This window comes from Homo sapiens, chromosome 2 (genome assembly GCF_000001405.40).
Source record: "Homo sapiens chromosome 2, GRCh38.p14 Primary Assembly".
In the NCBI taxonomy this organism is placed as follows: domain Eukaryota; kingdom Metazoa; phylum Chordata; class Mammalia; order Primates; family Hominidae; genus Homo; species Homo sapiens.
In genome coordinates, this window is record NC_000002.12 from 30,725,463 (window position 1) to 30,746,232 (window position 20,770).

Sequence of the window (20,770 nt, forward strand, 5' to 3'; positions counted from 1 at the left end):
TACCTCAACTTGCCCGGTGAGTCCAAGGGCAGATAAAAGACCTCTTGTACACAGTTTTGTAGGGAGTGACCTGGAAACCAAGTAGACTGGTGATGGAGCTCCAATAACCCTCATCTCTGGGAGAAGCTCGCTTAACTCAGGACAAAGACTTTGCTCGCTCCAGGGACACTTTGTAACACGGAGGATCAAGTGAGCAAGGAGAGGGACTTCTCTGGATCGAATCCTGGCTAACGATAAAAGTCTCTTTGCTGACCTCAGAGTGTTGGAACTCCTAGAAGAAACTTTGTAATAGCAAAGTAAGGGAATATTGGATAGAGTTGAAGTGACCAGGACACTTTCAACTTTTTCAAAAAAGTGAGGGAAATTTTCAAATTTTTCAAAAAAGTGAGGGAAAAATAGGCCTTCATAAGATAATATGGGTCATGATGTATTAGAGATAATAACAAGATAATATTAACTACCTGCCTTCCAGTACACCAAAGGGGAAGAAAATAGAGAATAGCTAAAATAGCAGGAAGACTAGGATGTAAGCTAATACTAACAAATGCTAGGATGAGAACAAAACAAAGGAAGGTATAAACCTGAAAGAATGATTTATTTCGGTTATTTGGGAGAAAGTTACCAACTAGTTTCTCCAGGGTAGGTGTTTCGCTTTGTGCTAAGGAAATAGCAACAAACAAGACATACCCAGGCTTATAGTCTAGCAGAGAATACTGACATCAAGCAAGTAATGAAAAGTGTGTTAACTCAGCCAGCTACAAATAGAAGTGAACTTCCTCAACCTGGCAAATGGTATCTATGAAAAACTCACAGTGATCATCATATTTAATGGCAAAGGATTGGGTGTTTTCCCCCAAGATCAGGAACACAAGGTTGTCTGCTTTGTACACTTCTATTCGGCATTGTATTAGAGGTTCTAGCCAGACAATTAGGCAAGAAAAAGAAATAAAAAGCCTCTATATTGGAGTGGAAAAATAAAACTTTATTGCAGATTACATGACTTTTGAATATATAAAATTCTAAGGAAGCCCTTTAAAAATATTGGAACTAATAAACAAGTTTAGCAAGGTTGCAGGATATAAGATCAATATAAAAATAATTTTTATTGCTGTACACTAGCAATGAAAATCTGAAAATAATATTAACAATTTTATTTAAAATTGCATCCCAAACTACAATAGTTAGGAATAAATTTAACAAGGAAAGTGTAAGACTTCTACACTGAAAACTGTAAATCATTGTTCAAAAAAATTAAAGAAGATATAGAAAAATGAAGAGACGCATGGAACAAAAGATTTTATATTGTGAAGATGGCAATATTCCCCAGATTGACCTTTAGATTTAATGTAATCTCTATCAAAATCCCAGAAGCTGATAAATTGATTCTAAAATTTATATGTAAATGCAAGGAACCCAGAAGAGCCAAAATAGTCTTGAAAAGTAAAATAAAGTTGGAAAACTCACACTTCCTAATTTCAAAAGTTACTATAAAATTGTAGCAATCAACAAAGTGTGATACTGGCATAAGATACACACATAAATCAATTGAACAGAAAGGAACGTCCATAAATACATTCTTATATTAAATTGATTTTTGAAAAGGGTTCCAAGACAAAGAAACAGGAGAATGAATAGTTTTTTCAGCAACTGGTGCTGGGACAAATGAATGAATGCAAAAGAATGAAATTAGAACGTTACTTCACACCATATAAAAAATGATCTCAAAATGGATCAAAGACCTAAATGTAAGAGCTAAACTATAAAACAGAATAAATAGTTTGACCTTGGGTTGGGCAATGATTTCTCAGCTATACCACCAAAAATATGTGACAAAAGAAAACAATAGATAAATTAGACTCCATCAAAATTAAAGACTCATATGCTACAGATGATGGCATCAAAAACTGCAAAGACAACCTGCAGAAGGGGAGAAAAATTTTGCAAATCACATATATAAGGAATTCGTATCTACAATATACAAAGAACATCTATAACTCCTCTGTAGTAAAAATATAAGTAACCCAGCTTAAAAATGGACAAAGAACTAAATGAACATTTCGCCGAAGATATAAAATAACCCACAAGCACTGAAAAGATGCTCAAAATCATTAGTCATCATGAAAATGCAAATCAAAACCACAGTGAGATATCACTTCACACTCCCTAGGATTGCTATAAAAGACAGACAATGACAAGGGTTGCTGAGGATGTGGAGAAAATGGAATTCTCATTTGCAGCTGGTGGGAATGTAAAATGGTGTAGCTGCTTTGGAAAACAGTTTGGTGGTTCCTCAAAAATTTACAAATAGAATTTCCGTATGATCCAGCAGTTCCACTCATAACTATACACCCAATTGAAATAAAAACATATGTCCCCCCAAAAACCTGTGCACAAACATTCATAGCAGGATTATTAATGACAGTCAAAACTAGAAACAACCCACATGTCTATCAACTGAGGAATAGATGAAAAAAATGGGGTAAAGCCACAATGAAATATTATATGGCACTTAAAAGGAATGAAGTACTGATACACGCTACAACATGGATGAATCCTGACAGCATTACGCTAAGTGAAAGAAGCCAGTCATAAAGGACCACATGTTGTATGAATCTAATCATATGAAATGTCCAGAATAGGCAAACTTACAGATTCAGAAAGTAGATTAGTGGTTGCCTCAGGCTAGAGGGTGGGACACAATTGGGGAGCAACTGCTGTGGGCATGCTAGATGGGCATGGGGTTTCTTTTTTGTGGTGATAAAAATGTTCTAACAATCATATTGTGGTGATTGTTGCACACCTCTGACTACGCTAAAAACCATTGAACTCTATACTTTAAATGAGCAAACTCTACAATGTGTGAATTATATCTCAATATATTTCTTTAAAAGAAGATGGGCTACAACCAAGTGTGTTGAATGTTATGACTGGGGAGGGGTGATATGTGAGTGAATAATATGGGAACCCATAATATGGGAACCCAACTGGGCTAAGACATAAAGGATCAGGAGTTTGGTGACTGACAGCCAAGACAGAGCAGACAGTAAGGCCAAAGGCTTCAGGCTGGGAAAAGCATGGAAAATAGAAGGAAGTAAAGGTGTAATGGTGTGGTTGGAGTAGAGAGCAGGAAAAAGAGGGACAAGTTGTGGTTAGATGGTGGGCAGGGTCCAGAGGAGACAGGCTCCTGTGGTCCATGTTAATGATGCCAGATTTTTCCTGTGAGCAATGGGAGGACATTGAAGCGTTTTTAAGCCTGGAGAATGTAATGATTGGATTTGAATTTTAAAAAGTGTAGTCCAGCTGCCGGAAATTGATTTGAGGGATATGAGTAGATATAGGAAAATCAGATAGGGAGGCCATGCCAAAGTCAGGGAGAGAGATGATGTCAAAGAAATCTCAACTGAAGCAGTTAGCAGGGAGAGTGGGAAGTGAGAATATGTAGACAATGAGCTCTTCCATGAAATTTGGTTGCAATGAGAGGAAACAGGTGGAGTTTAGCTGGAAGGGGTAGGAGATGAAGAAATTTAAAAGATACACATTTTTAAATGGGAGTTAAATGACTCCAGAAGACAGAGACAGGTTTAGTATTCAGAAGACAGAAGAGAGAATTCATTCAATCAGGCCCTTGAGAAGGTGAAGGATAATGAGGAAGAAGTGGGGAGATAGTTACAGAGGAAGGTGGGTTTGTAGATTTGCAGGCAGAACTTCTTCACCCTCCTGCCTCCAATTCTGTAAAGCAAACCACAAGCCAAGAGTGAGTGGAAGTGCTTTAATGATGTGATACCAGAGGGTGGTGATTAATGAGGAAGCTAGGGAAGCGCTCCTGTGGCTGATGATAGGCATTAGTGAAAGAAACTGAAGTAAACACGACAATGCCTCTAATATTATCCTTCCTTCTGACACATTGTTTAAAAATAGGAAGGGTGGAAACATTAGTTAAGAGGGAATCGCGACCCTGTACGGAGAAAAGGTAGTAAGAGAGAATCCAGTTACTTTGAAAGTTTAAGCCTTTAGGCCCTGTGTATCAAATTAGCTTAAATATACAATTGAAGAATCATTTTTGATATTAGAAGTCATGCAGATTGGAACAGACACAATAAAACTGAAAATAATCAAATGTTCTGTTTTTAAAAAGGAGTGAAAGGAGAACTCAAGGAAATATGATTGGGTCAAATTAACTATGATCTCTGCAGTATTCATTTGCGATCATTAGAAAGCATCAAGCGTTCATCAGGAAATATTTATGCTACAACATTATTTATGGAGACAGTGTCTGTCTCTTGACTTCAAGGTACATGAATGGGAGATTAAATACTGTTTACCAAAACAATCGAGTTTTAGGTGATATTGATCACAGGTCGGCTGCGTGAAGAACTGTATACTTCGAAGGTATATTGGCACATAGAGAATGGTCACCAGGAGGTCTGGATGAAAACCAACATGAATAATTAAAGAAGACAGGCTTTGGGCAAAATAGCAAAGGTATCCTCAAATATTTGTAGGTCTTGCATGTCCAGTATTTTTTTCTACAGTGGTCCAGAGAGTAGAGCCAGAAGCATGAGTAGAAAGTTTCAGGGAAGTAGATGATTGCCTCTAGCTAAGGAATACCTAACACTCGGAGATGTCCAACAATGGGAACCACAACATCTTGAGCTCCCCTGTCCTAAAGAATTCTAGAAGACTGATGGGGCTTCTGCTACAGCAGGGTTAGGGTGTGGACTATGTAACTCTAGGGTCTGTTTCATGAAAAAAAATGTAGAGGAAATGACGTGAGTGTTAATTCTTCAGCACACTCATGCTAGAGGGATAAACACTGATGCCTACAGATGTTCATCATCTGTCCAAAGCTGCACAGTGAGACAATGGTACAGCTGGGGCTAGAGCCCGCTCTTCTCTCCCTAAGGCCTGACCATTTCTACCATTTCTGTTGCTCTACACCATTCCATTTCCACCATTTCTCTTGCCCTTCCCGTGATGAGAGATACTTTTTTTCTTTCGAACTGCAGTGAAGGATTCTAAACCCTCATTCATGCCTTTCAAGCCATGCCTTTCCATAAAGGTCCATTGGTCTACATTGTCTGCATGAAATCTGCAGCATTGGCCTTGAAACTCAAGGGCCTTGAGCAGCTAAGCCTTGGTTCACTTATGTAAGGGTCTGTCATCCCTGGGGAGGCTCTCCCAAGGAGAGAGTCTTATGTGCAGTTCTTAGAGGGGAAGGAGGACTCATGCTCCCAGGAGGGAAAGACTCCAAAGCTACCATGTCTTACCTGAGCCATGGGTCTGCTTTCCTCTTTGCTTCAGTTGTACATGACCAGGCTCATCCACTGAAAAATAAGCATCATCATTACAACAATTCTTTACACTTGTTAGCTTAATACAGAGCAGGGCAAATGCCACCCTCCTCCCTCGGAAGACCTCAGTCCAGTCTCATCACCCCTTCCAGCTAATTCCAACCCAAGCAGGGTACGGGGCGGGGTTGTCTCACAGCACATCTTCTGCTACTCCCTGAATAACCAGGCAGTGAGACGTATATATCTTAGGTCTACCAGCTGGCTGGTCAGGAGCCTCTAAAACTCAATGGGAATAAGTTTAATGTACAGTGAGCTCAGCGGGCTGTCCTTCTGTTCCCTCCTGGATTTATGACTCCCACATAATCCTCTGCTTTATTAAGCTATTGGAAAAAAATAAAATCTGTCTGCCAAGATCCTAAAGCAGCCTGGCGGCCAGCGATATATAAGGCAGTAATTGGAGGTTGGGGGGACAGCTTGGCTGGCCTTTGACAGACCGTTCAATATCCTCAGGGAGAAAAATGCCCTCTGGAATCAAGTCAGGGGAGGCAGCCTGGGACTGTGCCTGCCCCGGGGAGGGGAAGGTACCTCACCTCCATTTCTGTCAGGTAGAGTCCTTTTCCATCCTTAGAGAGGTTGCGGAAGGTCTCTAGGATAAAGAAGGGAAGGTTTTGACTGACTGAGGAGGAAGGAATCCAGGCAGTTCAGGGGAGGCAGGCCTGGGCCCATAAGAAGCACAGGAGGTGATTCTGTAAAGCAGCCCCTCCTGCTCCGCGGGGTGTGCCTGTCACCCATCCTTTTCTCTGTCTAGCCGAGCTCTGCACGGGGCGAGTGGCTCAGGGCTCACCTCCTCAGAGGGGCTGTGTGCCTGCTCTGCCCACACGCCTCTCCCTTTCCCAGCTTCCTTGCACTCCCTGCCCCTGCATCCATCCACACTAGGCTGTGGGGATGTGAGGGCTTGTCATTCTTTCAGTGATACAATTTGGGGACCTTCCCTGTGCAACCGAGAACTGTGTGGGGGCCAAGGCTTGTACCTCAGGCTTCTCTTTTACCCTCCCAGAGCCTTAGTGTCTCAATCTTTTTGCCCAGCTCAGAGCTGCAGGCTTTGCAGCAGTGCCTCGTGGCATGGCGGTGAGAGGATTATGAGTGGGGAGGGGTCTGGCCTCTCTCCTGCAATCATGGTGGCCCCACTGTGGCCCGACTGTGGCTCGGGGTTTCACACTAGATTTCATTAAAAACAAAGGGTGATGCTGCTAAAAAGTGTGGAAACTTCGGCCCACACAGTTGGATTTCTGAAGCCTGGGGAGGGACCTCCTGCCCCTACTTATTCACTTGTGTGTGAAATTCCTGCAGCAAAGACCAAAATCCTTCATTACATAACTGAAGAGCAGGTTTCAATGATAAACACAACCTGGAGACGGGGACAGCGTTAACCTTGTTCCTGAGAGAGGGGCTGGTCAGGGTGATGAGGAAAAGAGACCTGCGATGGGGAACTACAGGGGAGAGGGGGGTGCGGAGGGAGCTGGTCACACCATCTACAGCCTCGGTTGGCACCTCACACAGGCTGCTGGCCCACCCTGCTGCTGAGGCCTCACGCAGACCTGGGGTGGGGTAGGGGGTGTCCGGTCCTCTCCTGTGTTCTTCGGTCACTGCCAAGGTCTCTGGGATGCCCCTTGGGGACACTTACTTGCCATGGCTTCAAGCCGCATCAGGAAGCAGACCAGGCTGGGGAAGCTGACCCTGCCGACGCTGTCGCTGTACCTGAGGGTCACCAGATGCAGCAGCTCACGGCTGATGAAGATCCCTCTGAGGAAGTCTGGGGCCACAGGTGAACGAGTGAGTGAGAGGAGGCTAGGGCTCGGGGGTTCCTCTGCCTCTCAGGGTCTGAGACACCTGTTCAGAGGGCCCGGCCACCTCCCACCAACTCCTCCCACTCAGCCCCCTCCCTTCAGTGTCTTCTCTTTCCTGTTGGTTGTTAGGCCCCAGGAACCTAGTTCTGGAGTCTGGCCAGAGACCACGTGAAGATGCTGAAGACCCTGCTCTGGAGATACATTGGCCTTCACAATCATCTGATCATTCCCACGTAATGGGAGAGCTGCTGGGACACCTGGGGGTTGCTTCTAGCTCTGCCTCTGTCAAACTTCTCCTTGCTGATGACCTTCACAACCTTCCTCCCCACCCATGACTGTAGGTGGATTGTTTATGGATGCTGCTAGTGTAGGTGGGAGTGGCCCCTGGCAGAAGGAGATGCAGTCCTAAGTCCATCCAGGGAAAAGACTGACCCTTGGCGGGAGAGCAGAATGCAGAAGGTGGCCTCAGGCAGGCAGGAGCTCAGCGCCTTGTCATCCTGTGCTTCTAGTTATAAGCTCCAGGGAGGCACCGACCTCACAGGGGCCAAGTGCACACTGGCACATAGTCAGGCTTTGCAAGACTTAAGAGAGCAAGCAGAACCCTGCAAGCCAAACCATCCATCATGGGGACAAGCCTGGTGGCCCATGAGCCTCCGGCAGCCAGAGACACAGGAGGTTTCTCTAGCGGAGTTAATAAAACATGAACTCGAATGCCTTTAGATAAGCCAGGTCCTGTTCTCAGTCACCTGTTTTCTGACTGTGAGCTCCATCACCCCTTTCACTTACTTGCCTGGCTGCTGAAGGCTTACTGAATTGAATTTGAACAATTTTCTACTTTTTTCTCTTTTATTATTCTGGAGTCATGTGTGAGGTCTTTCTAAAAGATTTCATCTTTAATGGATTCTTAAAGTGTGGTCCCCAGACCAGGGGCATGAGCATCCCCTGGGAGCTTGTTAGAAATGCAAATTCCTGAGCCCCACCCACACCCCCTGATCAGAGGTGCAGCAATCTGTGCTTTAACGAGCCCTGAAGAGTCCCAGTTCCACATTATGAAGCATTAAGGGGAGGATCCAGGCTACAGGTGGGGGCAACGGTCTGATCTTTCTGCCCTGTCTCCAGGCCAGGATCCACAGAAGGGAGGATGATGGAGACTATCCTTCCAGTGTTAACCCGGGGAAATGTGATTTTACATTTTATTAAAGGAAGGTAGCCATTTCCTTGTGCAACTTTTTTTGTCACCCATTTTCCCCATTGGGACAGTAGAGGTAATGATTCCTGCCCTTCCCAGTTTGCAGGGTAGTTGAGACAGTCAAAGGAGATGACGCGAACAGAAGTGCTTGGTGAACCATGGAGAACTTATGCACCCTAAGGAATTATTCTCATTATCCCAGGGCTGAAAGCCTTTGCCTACTTGAAGCAGACAGATGCCATTTGATTTAATTTAGCCCCAAACTCTCTGTGAAGAGAGAGAGCGATCATCAGCTAGCCTGTGGGTATTTAACCCTGATGGCCCAGATACTGAGCTGGAAGCGCGTCTCCAAGGCGAGCTCGATTCCTGATAGGGTATCAATCACGCAACGGCTATTTTCTCACAATTAGAGCTGTGCTGGGGAGGAAAGACATCTGGGAAAATTGAATGGCACGTGAGAACTCAGACAGGGCAACTGTGTTTGAGTCTGCAACCGTGGAGGCCCCCCAGGGTCAGTGTGAACTGGGGAGGACACGAGAGCTGCAGCGCTCCTCTCTCCTGATTGCCTGGCACTGTTGTGCCAGCCTTGCTACTAGGGGTGTGGGCATCACCCCCCTCCCCGGACCTTGGGCACCACAGCTCCAAAGTCCCCATTGTACCTGTATTCTCTATGGCCTTCCACAAGTCCGAGCTCAGGAGGACTCCAGGGCTTGTCTGAACCTTCTGGAAAACATGCTAATAGGGGAAGAGAAGCAAGAAGTCTGTGTGAAGACTGGGAAGGTCTGGATACTCCTTTTCCATCCTGGGAGCTTGCTTCCCTAAACCTCAGAGGAAGGCACGGTCACAGCACTGAGGACTGGGAGGACACAGTGGCCACACCTGGTGAACTGACCATCCTGGCTGCCCGCTGAGGGGCTGTGGCTGCTTCCCTCCTCACCCATGCTCCTTCCTCTTCTGTGCCCCCAGACTGGGCCCTGACACATAGGGCAGTTTTCTACTTTTGAGGGGAGTGTAGGGCTCTCCAAAGAGTTTGCGTAGGGTAGTGGTTAAGAGCACAGGCTTTACAACCAAACTGCTAGGGCTTAAATCGTGGACTATTTACCAGCTGTATTACCTTTGGCCATGACTTAATCTTCCTAGGCCTCAGTTTCCTCATCTGTAGCAAAGGGCTAATTACAGTGCCTACCTCACAGGTTTGTTGCAGGGAGTAAATGACTAAATATTTATAAAGTGCTTGAGGGAGTGCTTTGCACATTAGTGAATGGTCTATAGAAAATATTGAAAGCAGGTTAGAATTGCTTCCTGGAGCCCAGCACAGGGGCAGAAGGTGGCAACCGGAACATATCACTTTTGTATGGGGCGGCTCTTGCACCCACCCAGGCCTTTTCTACCTCTATCCAATTCTCTGTATAATCCTGGTCAACATCGTACTTCACAGATGAGGACACTGATACTCAGGCAGGGAACATTTTGCCTTGGATGAGGTGTGTAAGTGCTGCAGGACTGAACTCAGGACTCTAATTTGGGTCTATGCCTAGCTGTCCCCAGGAGCTACTCCAAAGCAAAGTACCCACACACAGGCATGTGACTGAGGCCAACCATGGGAGACAACTGTTGCAAAATAGCAGCTGGACAGCTTTTTGGGGGCCTTATTCGGCTTTTGGTGAGTGCAAGGACAGACCTAGACTGTTCTCAGGAATTCATTCGTTCATTCGGAATTTCTTCAGTCATTGATTCAGCATTTTGAACCCCTGCTGTGTTTTAGCCACTAGGGAGGCTCTGGGGAAAGATGGATATGAGGGACCCTTGCCCCGGGGGACCCAGGGGAGTGGACATGCCAGCCGTCGCAGTGCCCTGCAATGAAATGAGAAACCAAGTGACCCCTAGTCGGGGATCCGGGGATATATACTGAAATAGCCACACAGGAACACTTTTTTTCAGCCTTTAAACATGTTATGAAAATATTTAGTGACATGGCTAGACATTTGATGTATTTATTGGCATTTATTAGTTTTTAAAAACAGATTATACTTCTATTTGGCATGTGTGGGTATACATATTACAAGAAAAATTCTGAAGTATGAAGGGTAGGTGGGCACTGGCCAGTCTCAGGGTGCAGGGAGGGGAGAGGCAGGAGGGGCAGGCTGAAGGGGCACAGGTGTGACGTTTACAGGAAATAGTGAATCTCCTTTAGACTTGTATTGGAGTCTAAAGGAGAGAGTGGGATGAGTGGAAAGGGCTTCTCCTGGGCCCCAAATAGGGACCCACTTAGAGGGTCTTGCGTGCCACTCTGAGGGCTTAGACTTTGTCCTAGGAACAATGGGGAGGCCACATTGAGGCCTCAGGCCACATCTATGTTTTCGACAGATCCTCTGGCAGGTGGATTGGACGGGAATGAGATAAGCTAGCAGGTGTTGCAGTGGATGCAGGGGCGGGGGTGGGGGCAGATGCTAGCAGGTAGCTTTAGCTTACAGAGACAGCATTCTCCTCCCACCTCCAACGCATCCCTCATTCCGCCACCTAATTAGGCATTGCCTTGTGCCTTTTGGAGTTGCACTATGTCTCCCCAAACAACATGTGAGCTCTCCTTGAGGGCAGGGGTGAGAGTTCCTCTTCTTTCATACCCCTGAACCCTGGTGCAGGGTTAGACACCCAGTAAATCCTTGCTAACTGGACAGAATGAGAGTGCTAGTCACAGAGAATGTGCCCGTACCTGGTAGTGAACAAGGCGCTTCCACAGTCGCGCAAACTCCTCTTGGTCTAGCCGCCCATTCACTTTCAGCTGGGTAAGGAGTTAAGAGTGAACCAGCCAGCGTGCAAGGTGCAGAGGGGCTGCCATCCTGCCAACAAAGCCAGAGCAGGCCCATTCATCACTAGCAACACAGCTGGTCCATTGTCACCTGGATGTGGCCCCATGCCAGCTGGCTCCCGCTGTGTCTGAAAGGGACCTGGCTTAGATTTGTTTTACAAAGAAAAATGGGCAATTGGAAGAAGGAAGCCCTGAGGAAAGGAGGCCAATATCACTTGCATCTGAGGGAAGAGAGGGGTCTAGAACACGGCCTTCACCAGTTGGAGTGGGCCCTCTGGCTCCAGAAGTTGGGGAGGAGCACGAAGGGTCATGGCAACCCCAGAAGCAGCAGCCACAGGCGAGCACATAGAGTCCTGCGTGCACAAGTGTAGAGGGAATGCATCTCGTGGGCATGTTAAAGCCAGCCCTGGCCATGCCGTATGATGGGTTCAGTGATGACTAATGAAGGGAAAAGCATTAACCTCTGAGAACTGGAAGGGGAGCCATGAGTAGGAAGAAGGCTGAAAGAGACCTGTCCGCTTTGCAGGGGTCCAGCAAATGTGACCTCCCCTCGGGTTACTCACCCCGGGCCGTGGCACTGTGAGGACCATTTGGATTCCTCTGTGGGAGATGGGCTGTGTCTCTGATAGATTCCAAAGCACAGCCAGCAGAGACAGGGCCTGATTTATGATTTCATCAAAAAAGCCCTCTTGTTTCACAATGGCCGGCTTCACAGTCCCAATTCAGCCTTGTCAACGGTGCAGGAGCGGGGCAATGCGTCTCAGGAGACAGCACACTGCCGAGTGAGGGGCTGGCAGGGCAGCATCTGGGGGTCTACACTCATGGAGTCAGCCTCTTCTGCTTGCCAAGCCAGGGGTACGCAGGAAGAGGATGGCTCACTGGGGAATGGAAATCAGGAGGAGGGTCAGGAGTCTGGGGTTCAATTCTTGGTCCTACACTTGTAGCCACGGGCCTGGAGTGAGTCTCTGAACTGCCTCTGCCCAGCGTCTCCCGCTGTGAATGCAGCATAGCAATGCTGGGGTGCAACTGCTGTGTAGACCAGGCAGTTTTCCATGTTTTGGTGGTAGTTATCTTGATTGAATTGGGGACTTGTTGAAGTAAGAAATTTAAATAATGGAGACTCCTCCAGTGGGAAGTGAATGGGTAAAAGGGAAAATAGTTCCCAACGGTGCTATAAAGGGGCGGTTTAGGATAAGGTTAGAGCATCGACTTTGGAGGCTGAAAGCTCCAACTTCAAATCTGAGCATGAGTCCTGACTAGCTGTGTGATCTGGGCAAATTACTTAACCTCTCTGAACTCCTGTTTCTTCTACTGTATTATGAGATGATACTTTTTTGTATCAGAGGGATTGCTTCAAGAATTATAAGGACACACACACACACACACACACACACACACACACACACACCCCAGTACACTGATCAGCACATAGTAGGTGCTTGATAGATGGTAACTATTATCATTGTTGCTGTGGTATGTTAGTGAGTTAGTAGAGAATCCCCAGAAACTCAAGGACAGGGAAGAAGAGAAAATACTGAGTGGGAAAAGGGTTCCCTACTGTCCTAATTAGGTCTCTGGGGAAGCCCACAGAGCTGAGGGGTGCTCAGAGCATGGGAGGGATGACCGCAAAGGATACTTCCATCAGAGCCACCAAGCTGCGGCACTCATCTAAGGAGAACATGTCCCCTGGAGGTCCTGAGGAGAGAAGGACAGGAAGGACTGAAGTGTTGACAGTGGGGTGTGGGGTGGGGTTGCCAGCAGGGAGGAGGATGGGGCCAGCTTGCCCTTGGGCTGCTCATACCTGTTAGAAGCTCCTGGTTGAGAAGGCCCTGAAGCTGGGTGGCATCAATGTCCAGCCTCTGATCCAAACAAGGAAGGAATGCAGGAATTATATCAGTGCCAGGATCTGAGAGGCACATCTGCCTGCCGTGTAAAAGCACTCAGATTTCCAAGCACTTAGTCCCCACAATGTACCCATCTTGCCCTCGTCATGAAGACTTACCTGATGGCTGCCAGCCATAGTAGTGACTCCCTCCCCTGCACATCTGTCGTGTTGGTCACTCCTGATGCTTGGCCCCTGGTGTGGGTGACCTTGCATTCCTGTCTTTATCTATTACTGGACTGAAAGCAGTTTAGTCCTTGCCACTATCTCTGGCACTGGGGAACCCCTCAGGGTAAGTACTGTTGAATGAATCAACTCAACCCTTTAGATGTGTTCCCCATCTGCTTCCAGAAAGAGACTAGGAAAAACTATGACTACTGTGTGCATGTGTGTGTGTTGTGTGTATGTGTGTGTGTGTGCGTGCACGTGTGTGATAATAGGAATTAAAAATACCAGAAATGTGGGCTAAGAGAAACTGCTATCATTGAGCACATTACGTAGCATTAATTTTCCCAGCCACTGAAGCAAAAAGGGAGACATCATGGTTTTCTTCGGATTAAGAGCAGGAAGCAATTGAGGTTGGGGAGGGAGGAACTCTTCCTGGCCTCAACTTCTGGGGCAGTTAACTACATTTGATTTTATACTGGGGGCATCCAGCAGGTTGACAGGCAGTGTCTTTGATGACAATTTCACAGAGACATGGAGCTATTCTATATGCGGCTGTTCCTCATGTCCAGCCTGGGAAGGGAAGAGGGGATGCTATGCTGCTATCGCCCTGGGAAAGCATTTTCATGGGGAGCTGGCGCTGGAAAGATTTATCAGCAGGTGGTCCTGTAGAGTGGCACTGGTCATGTAGAATAGGGTGCCTCCTGGGGGTCTTCTGAGAATGAGCACCTTCCATCTCCCAGGATTGGCCTTACCACCTTGAACTGGAAGCAAAAACAGCCCCAGAGCCTGTCCAGATGGGGTCCTCACCTAGAAGGATGACCCCTCAGGATGCCCCTGAGGAAAGCATCCTGCCAATGCCTGAAGATGGTCCTCGGGTCATTTCACCAACATTTCACTCTGGGTTTTATCAGGAAAGTTAGTGTTGAGTGCCCACTATCAACTGAGTTTCTCTTCCAGAGACTCAGGACACCTCGCTTTGAACAGCAGTTAGCATGCTAATGAGGAGTTCCAACTTCCATGGAATCGTCCACTATAAAGCAGCTTTGGGGCATGGACCGTGTCTTTTTCCTCCATATTCCCATGTGAGGACAGAGCCTGCCCCGGGTCCTGCACTTCATAACCAACCAAAAGAGTCTGAGGAGATGAGGGTAGGAATAGAGTGAGGGTTGCTTAGTCTCCTAAAAAATTGCATGTTTGCCTCAACCACCACAATGCAAGATGCCCAAAAGCTATTCCTTGGGATTCCCAAAGCTTAGAGTGGGGCTTGTAATGTCCGGATGATGGGTAAATGCTGGCTACTTGGTGGATAGACCTAGCTCATCCCAGAGTCTAAGTGGATCCTTCCTTTCCCACAGGCAGACCCTGGGTTATAGAGCTGTCACCACTACTACAGTGAAGGAAGAACCGGTGGTAGTATCAAGTCATTGTATTAGGTTTTTTTTTTTTTTTTTTTTTTTTTTTTTTGAGATGGAGTCTTGCTCTGTCATCCAGGCTGCAGTGCAATGGCACGATCTTGGCTCACTGCAACCTCTGCCTCGTGGGTTCAGGCAATTCGCCTGTCTCAGCCTCCCAAGTAGCTGGGACTACAGGCGTGCGCTACCATGCCCGGCTAATTTTTGTGTTTTTAGTAGAGATGGGGTTTCACCATGCTGGCCAGGCTGGTCTCGAATTCCTGACCTCCCGATCCACCTGCCTTGGCCTGCCAAAGTGCTGGGATGACAGGCGTCAGCTACCGTGCCCGGCAACCATTGTATTAGTTTAAATCTAGTTAAAGTGGTAGAAAAGATCAGAAGAGAGGACACAGTGAGTGCATGGAGGAATATTTTGCTTTAAACTTTCTTTGGAGGACACAGACCCTGAGGACAGTTTGTAGGATTACAGAATACTGCCAGGTGGGCCCTGCTCAAGAGGGCCTGGCTGAGAGGTGAAAGGGGGCTGGAATCCAGTCTCTTTTCTGCTTCCCAGCCATGTATCTGGCAGAATGCCACACTGGGGTCTTATTCTTATTCCCACGAAGGCCCCCTATGGGCCACCAGTCACCCTCTATGAGGAGGAACTTGGCTGTTGTTTGGAAAAGTCCTGATTAGAAAATCTGTCCCATCTTCACATATGGCAAACATTTTTATTTTAGAGGTACAGGTGCATGGGCCATGTGTGAGAATTTGCCACCTGCCACTGAAGGAAGCTTGGTCTCAGGCATCCTAATCCGGCCCTGCTAACCACCTCAGGGGCTAACCTTCATTCACTCAGGCATCAGCTCTGGGGGAGGTGATCTGTCTTAATTCAATAGAAATGACTGAGCACCTCCTCGGGCCAAGGACAGTGATCAGTGTTGGGGACAAGGAATGCATATAATATCATCCCTGCCTTCGGGAGCTTACAGACTGAGGGCAGTCATCTTGGCCGGCCTTGTCATGCAGTGAGTGAAGTGCCTCCTGAATCAGCCCAGATGGTGGACCTGGATCCTGGGCTGGTACTGACTTCATGGAGGTCCGTGTTCCTGTGTACAGCTGCTCTTTGCAACACATGCCACTCATTCCAGCCACATTCTTAGTTTTTCCCTACTTTGGCCCAGGCTGCTTCTGGGTGACTACTACCCCATTAACCCTCTGAATGCAGAGGCAGGGCCTGCCATCCTTCCTGTCCTTGGCCTCTTCCTGGTTCAAGGCGGCAGGGTAGAGATGATCATCGGTATCACTTTCCACTTTCCACACTAACACAATTATTAACGGTAAGAGGCTCATTGTGCAGAGCCCCTGGCAGCTATTTTATTCTGACAAGTCAAGGAGTTCTTTATAACAGTTTATTAAGCCATTAAGGAAATCCTGTGTGCACATAGGTGGTTTGGCAGCAAGGATGCTGTATGTGCTTTCTGAAGCTGGCTAGCTCCCGGGAGGAACGATGCCAGGTTGGTGGGAGGTGGCCGAGTAGGAGAAGGAAAGGTTTCACGGGGTACTGCCAATTGCTTGTTTAAAGATTTAGAGGGCAATGCACCTCACACCCCATAATTATCCCCTCCCTTTCTAAGCTCTGCATTCCAGCTTGAAGTCCCCCGGATGACACTGGGTGGGGCGCCACGTCTCTACCGAGCTTGGCAGCCACAGCAGTTCTGGAGACGATCCAGGAAGAGAGGCAGGTAAAATAGTCCATCAAGTCACTTCTCCTCTCTGCATCCCAGTAAGGGCCTGTGAGAGCTGTCCCTCCCTCAGGTCCCCTTTCTCCAATCCCACGTAAGGCCCCTGGGTGCTAGGTACCATACCTGCTGAGCATATCTGTTGAAAATGCTTTGTTGGGAGCCATGTTCTGAAGGGCTTCCCTGGATCAAAGGGAAAATAGTCAATGTTAGACTTCTGGGGAAGGAGGCCACCCATCTGGTACAGCAAGGGTGCAACAACCCCTGCCAAGATCTGAGAAAGAGTCTTTATTGGGCAGTTGGAAAAAGCCTTCTGGGGAATGAGAAAACTGAAGTTTGTGGAAGGAAGAGGGCTGGGTTGAGCCTGGCCTTGGAGGCCTGGTCTTCTCCCCCTACCCCGCCCCTTTGAGCCTTCATCGGCCTATCATGGTGTCTCTCTTTTCATTGGTTGGGGGCAGCGGGAGGTGTAAAGAAGGAGACGGAAGCTCTTGGGGATGGGATGGGGCCAATGAGGCTCGCCAGCCAAACCTTGCTGCATACCTACCTTCATTCTGAGGTTGAAATGGCTGCTCAGGTGCCTAGAAAATCAGAGGACAGTGTGACAAAGATGACCAGCTCACCACTCAAAGGGGGCCTGCATATAGAGGGCACCCAGGTGGCACTGGATATTGATGCCAAGTTCCTGAATGGGGCACCCTCAGCACCGCAGGACACGAAGTGAGCAGCTACAGCACCGTGGCCACCAGCCCAGCCTTTTGGCTGGAAATGGTCTGGTCTTTAACTGTTTAGTAAATGGTTCCTTCCACAACCCGATACACACTTCCAGCAACCCCCATTGTCAGTATGGCAGATAGGCTCTGCCTTAGGTTCCATCTCTGATTGGTGGTATGATGGCGGCCTGGCATGCTGGACTTAGAAGGTCTCACCAATGCTCAGCTGCAAAGACTGCCATAATGATGGCAATGTCTGTCTTGGGCCCAAGAGGAGACAAGGGGCCCAGTGGGGTGAGCACTTGCTGGTCCCAGTCTTGAATGATCAAGTTGGCATGGAAGACCCTCCATGATGGACTCTTTCTTTCAGGCCCATCTTTCACTGTCTCCCTGCTATACCCCACATTTCAGGCCATGTGATATGCTGGCCAAATGCCACCTTCCTGTATGGATGCCGATGCTACTTACTCTCCAAGCAGCCCTGTGCACAGCCACTTCCCTCCCGCCATTCATGCTTTTTTCTTCTACCTACCTTCCCATGGCTACCATCGCCTTCCCTTTTAAACTATTAAATTATGTTTTTCTTCAAAGCCCAGCTCACGTGTCATTTCCCTCAAGAAGCCTTCCTCAGTCCCTCTTGCCACTCAGTCCTCCCGTGCCACTTTGCATTTCCATCTGGCAATGGACCCATCCTGTTTGTGGTCTGGTTCTTGGTTCATAGACTTTCTCGCTCCCCCTTTATGGTGAGCTGCTCTAGAGTGGGGCCAATATCATGTCCCCAGTGACATAGCACAGGCTGCACGAATGCACAGAGAACTGCCCATAATTACACAATGTGTTTTTATAAAGTTAAGTAGAATAAAACATTTACAATCCCAGAGGGTTCTGTACCTGTCACTGTCTGGCATTTTCAGGAAGATTCGGAGCAAGAACTCCGCTGATTTTCTCCGTGTCTGTGCAACCACAACATAGTTCCCAGGGCTCAGATGGTAAGTCATGGTGAAGTTGCGGCGGAATTTATTATTTGAGCTTTGGACAGTGTTTCTGAACGAGGAAAAAAACACGGGTGGAAATTTCTCCCGGAACCGCTGGAATTAGAGGAAACACAATGATTGTGAGAAAGCCTCCTCTGTGCATGGACCCCAGTCACCAAGAAAGACCCACCACCTTCTAGACCGTCTCCATTCACCAAGATAACATTACAGGCTCTATAAATGGAGACAGTGCTCAGCTGAAGTCTCAAAAAGCAGTAGTGTTTAGCCTGTCATTTCATCTAGACCCTGGACACAATGGATGCAAGGAAATACCACACACAGTTTCATCTCATTGGGTCTAACAGCATCCTGAGTTTCTGAGTTTTCTCTCCCTGCTTATATAGAGAGAAAACTTCCATGGAAACTAGTGACATCATTTTGACACTGATTTTCTTCTGGGGCCCCTAAAGCCCCTTCTCTCCTGAATGTTTAGCAGAATACTTTGGACTGCTATACCATTACAGAATTGAATTCTTTTCACTTTCTCTGTTTCATCTCTCCAGTGAAGCCCCGAGATTCCTTCTCATTGGAGAATAATGGGCCCTGATCATTTTCCTTTTATTTCAATGTTTTCTTAGAGATAAAACAATAAATATAATGCAGTTCCTATTACCAGATGTCACATACATATTATATAATGAAAACCCCTTGCTAAACAAATTTTCCCCACTATAGTCAAGCATAGGGATTCCATTTCGAATGGTTATGCAGCAGGAAATGATTATTTATGAGCTATGCCTTGCAGGGAAAACGGGAAAGGGGAAAGTTTCTTTTCAGGGGTAGGGACAGGGCTGGGCTCCAAGGTAAAACAGGAGATAGGCCACTGCCCCAGGGGTATGGGAGGGTGGCATCTCCAACGCGATTCTGCTGACATTAACAATAGCCTCAGCAGGTTTGGGAGCCTGACTTGCTTGGGCCCTTATGGCAAAAGCAATGATGGAATCAGTTCTTCTCCAGAGGGTCAGCAGTGTCCCGTGGCTCTGGGTATGGGCGAGTGTGCATGCATGTGTGGGTGCATGGGGAGGCAGTGGGCATGCAGAGGTGTGTGGGCAGCATGCCTCCTATAATTAGAAGGCAACAGTCTCCCTGCTCACCCGTTATCTTGTCCTGCTCCCTCTGTTGACCCCTCATAGCCCTGTCCAGGCTCCTGATCCTTCAGAACAGACTTGCTCAGTGGCAGTGAGAAGTGTGAGTGTGGGGGAACAACGTGGGGGTTCTTGGTCAATTGCTTAGAGTATCCAGCATCAACAAACCACACACCCAGGACTGGTCATGCACAGACCTGACTCTAGTTCTAGGGATGGGTTCTGTGCTTTTCCTGGATTAAGTGCCACTTTGTTCTCCAGCTCTGGGACCTGAGACGCTGATGGCTCCTTGCACCTGAGTGCTTCTCTCAATGCCCATCCCAACCCTCCACTTCATAGCTGGGATGTCAGGGACCAGAGTCAGATCCTGACCCCCGCTCTGTGGCTGGGCCACCACTGTCACAGGCAGGCTCCCCTGGAAGGCCTGGAGGTGCTGTAATCACTCTTTGTTGTCTGTGGCCACATCTTGCTCCTCTCTTTCATCTGTGGTCCCCAGGCAGATGCACCTCCCTCTTGGTGGCTCAGCACTCTCAGCCATGGGCAGAGAGGTGGGTCTGAGTGCCTGTGAGGATAGGTATTCCAAACTCCACCTGTCTTTCTCCATCCTTCCTCATATGGGCAAGTCACCTTTCACCAATCCTGAGCCAGATGATCTGTTTAGGAGGGTGGCAGTTTCTTGCAAGACGGGCTCAAGGATGTACCTTGAAGCTGCATTTGGAGAGCATGCATCCTGCTTATGGAGGATTTGGGGACTGACTACTTTAGGAGGCTAAAGATCTTTCCAAGGTACCCCTTAGTGCTGCTCTCATCTTAAATAAAAAGGAACCATCTCCATCAATCTTCTCTATCAGAGGCCACGGGCCTGAGGATGGTTTCACTTGAATGTTAGCAAGAGAACAGCTCAAAGGGTCGAAGCTTCAGACCAGGACACCTAACTATTCTCCTGCTTTGTGAACCTGTTTGGGGATTCTAGGCCTGTGTCTGATGTAAGACTTAGCGAGACTGAATTTGCAGCCACTGAACACGTGGAGGCCATGGGCGTTGGAAGTGGCCTAACACTCCACCAGCAGACAGCAGCAGAGGCGCAGGGCAAGGACGACGCTGAGCCATACCTGTGAGCCAGCCTGTTGGAAACAGGGAGAAAGGCAGATTTAGGAACTCAGACGTAAACAAAAAGGCAAGCAGAACCGAACAGCTTGGCTCATTGGTTTCATCCCTGCATTCCTTCTCCTTTTCTTCCTCTCTTTTAAAGAATTTATTTTATATCTGTTATGCCATAAAGCATTTTTTTTTTTTTTTTTTTTTTTTGAGATGGAGTCTCGCTCTGTCACCCAGGCTGGAGTGCAATGGTGCAATCTCGGCTTACTGCAACCTCCGCCTCCTGGGTTCAAGCAATTCTCCTGCCCAAGCCTTCTGAGTAACTGGGATTAGAGATGTGTGCCACCATGCCTGGCTAATTTTTGTTTTTAGTAGAGACGGGGTTTCACCGTGTTGGTCAGGCTGGTCTTGAACTCCCGACCTCAGGATCTGCCTGCCTTGGCCTTCCAAAATCCTGGGGTTATAGGCGTGAACCACTGTGCCTGGCCACCACAAAGGATGTTTTAAACACTGACATATCACTG

The 20,770-nt window shown here is 47.6% G+C and overlaps 1 protein-coding gene across 8 annotated transcripts in view; it reads right to left on the bottom strand.

The window, feature by feature from the left end:
* CAPN13 (calpain 13) overlaps window positions 1-20,770 on the bottom strand; it is an 84,676-nt gene that overhangs the window by 2,692 nt on the left and 61,214 nt on the right. For 2 of the 8 annotated variants that reach the window (XM_011533159.4, XM_011533160.3), the window contains 12 exons: window positions 20,261-20,272; window positions 17,921-18,117; window positions 16,864-16,897; window positions 16,446-16,502; window positions 12,938-12,995; window positions 12,773-12,831; window positions 11,041-11,109; window positions 8,987-9,062; window positions 6,976-7,104; window positions 5,882-5,937; window positions 5,268-5,324; window positions 4,241-4,424 (listed from right to left, as the gene is read on the bottom strand). In XM_011533159.4, the coding sequence (XP_011531461.1) occupies window positions 5,298-5,324; window positions 5,882-5,937; window positions 6,976-7,104; window positions 8,987-9,062; window positions 11,041-11,109; window positions 12,773-12,831; window positions 12,938-12,995; window positions 16,446-16,502; window positions 16,864-16,897; window positions 17,921-18,117; window positions 20,261-20,272 (774 nt within the window). In that variant the 3' untranslated portion in view covers window positions 4,241-4,424; window positions 5,268-5,297. Of the gene's footprint in view, window positions 1-1,136; window positions 1,918-2,860; window positions 3,730-4,240; window positions 4,425-5,267; window positions 5,325-5,881; window positions 5,938-6,975; window positions 7,105-8,986; window positions 9,063-11,040; window positions 11,110-12,772; window positions 12,832-12,937; window positions 12,996-16,445; window positions 16,503-16,863; window positions 16,898-17,920; window positions 18,118-20,260; window positions 20,273-20,770 lie in introns of those variants that run through there. The other 6 variants (NM_144575.3, XM_047446332.1, XR_939741.4 and 3 more) reach the window with 5 other exon arrangements.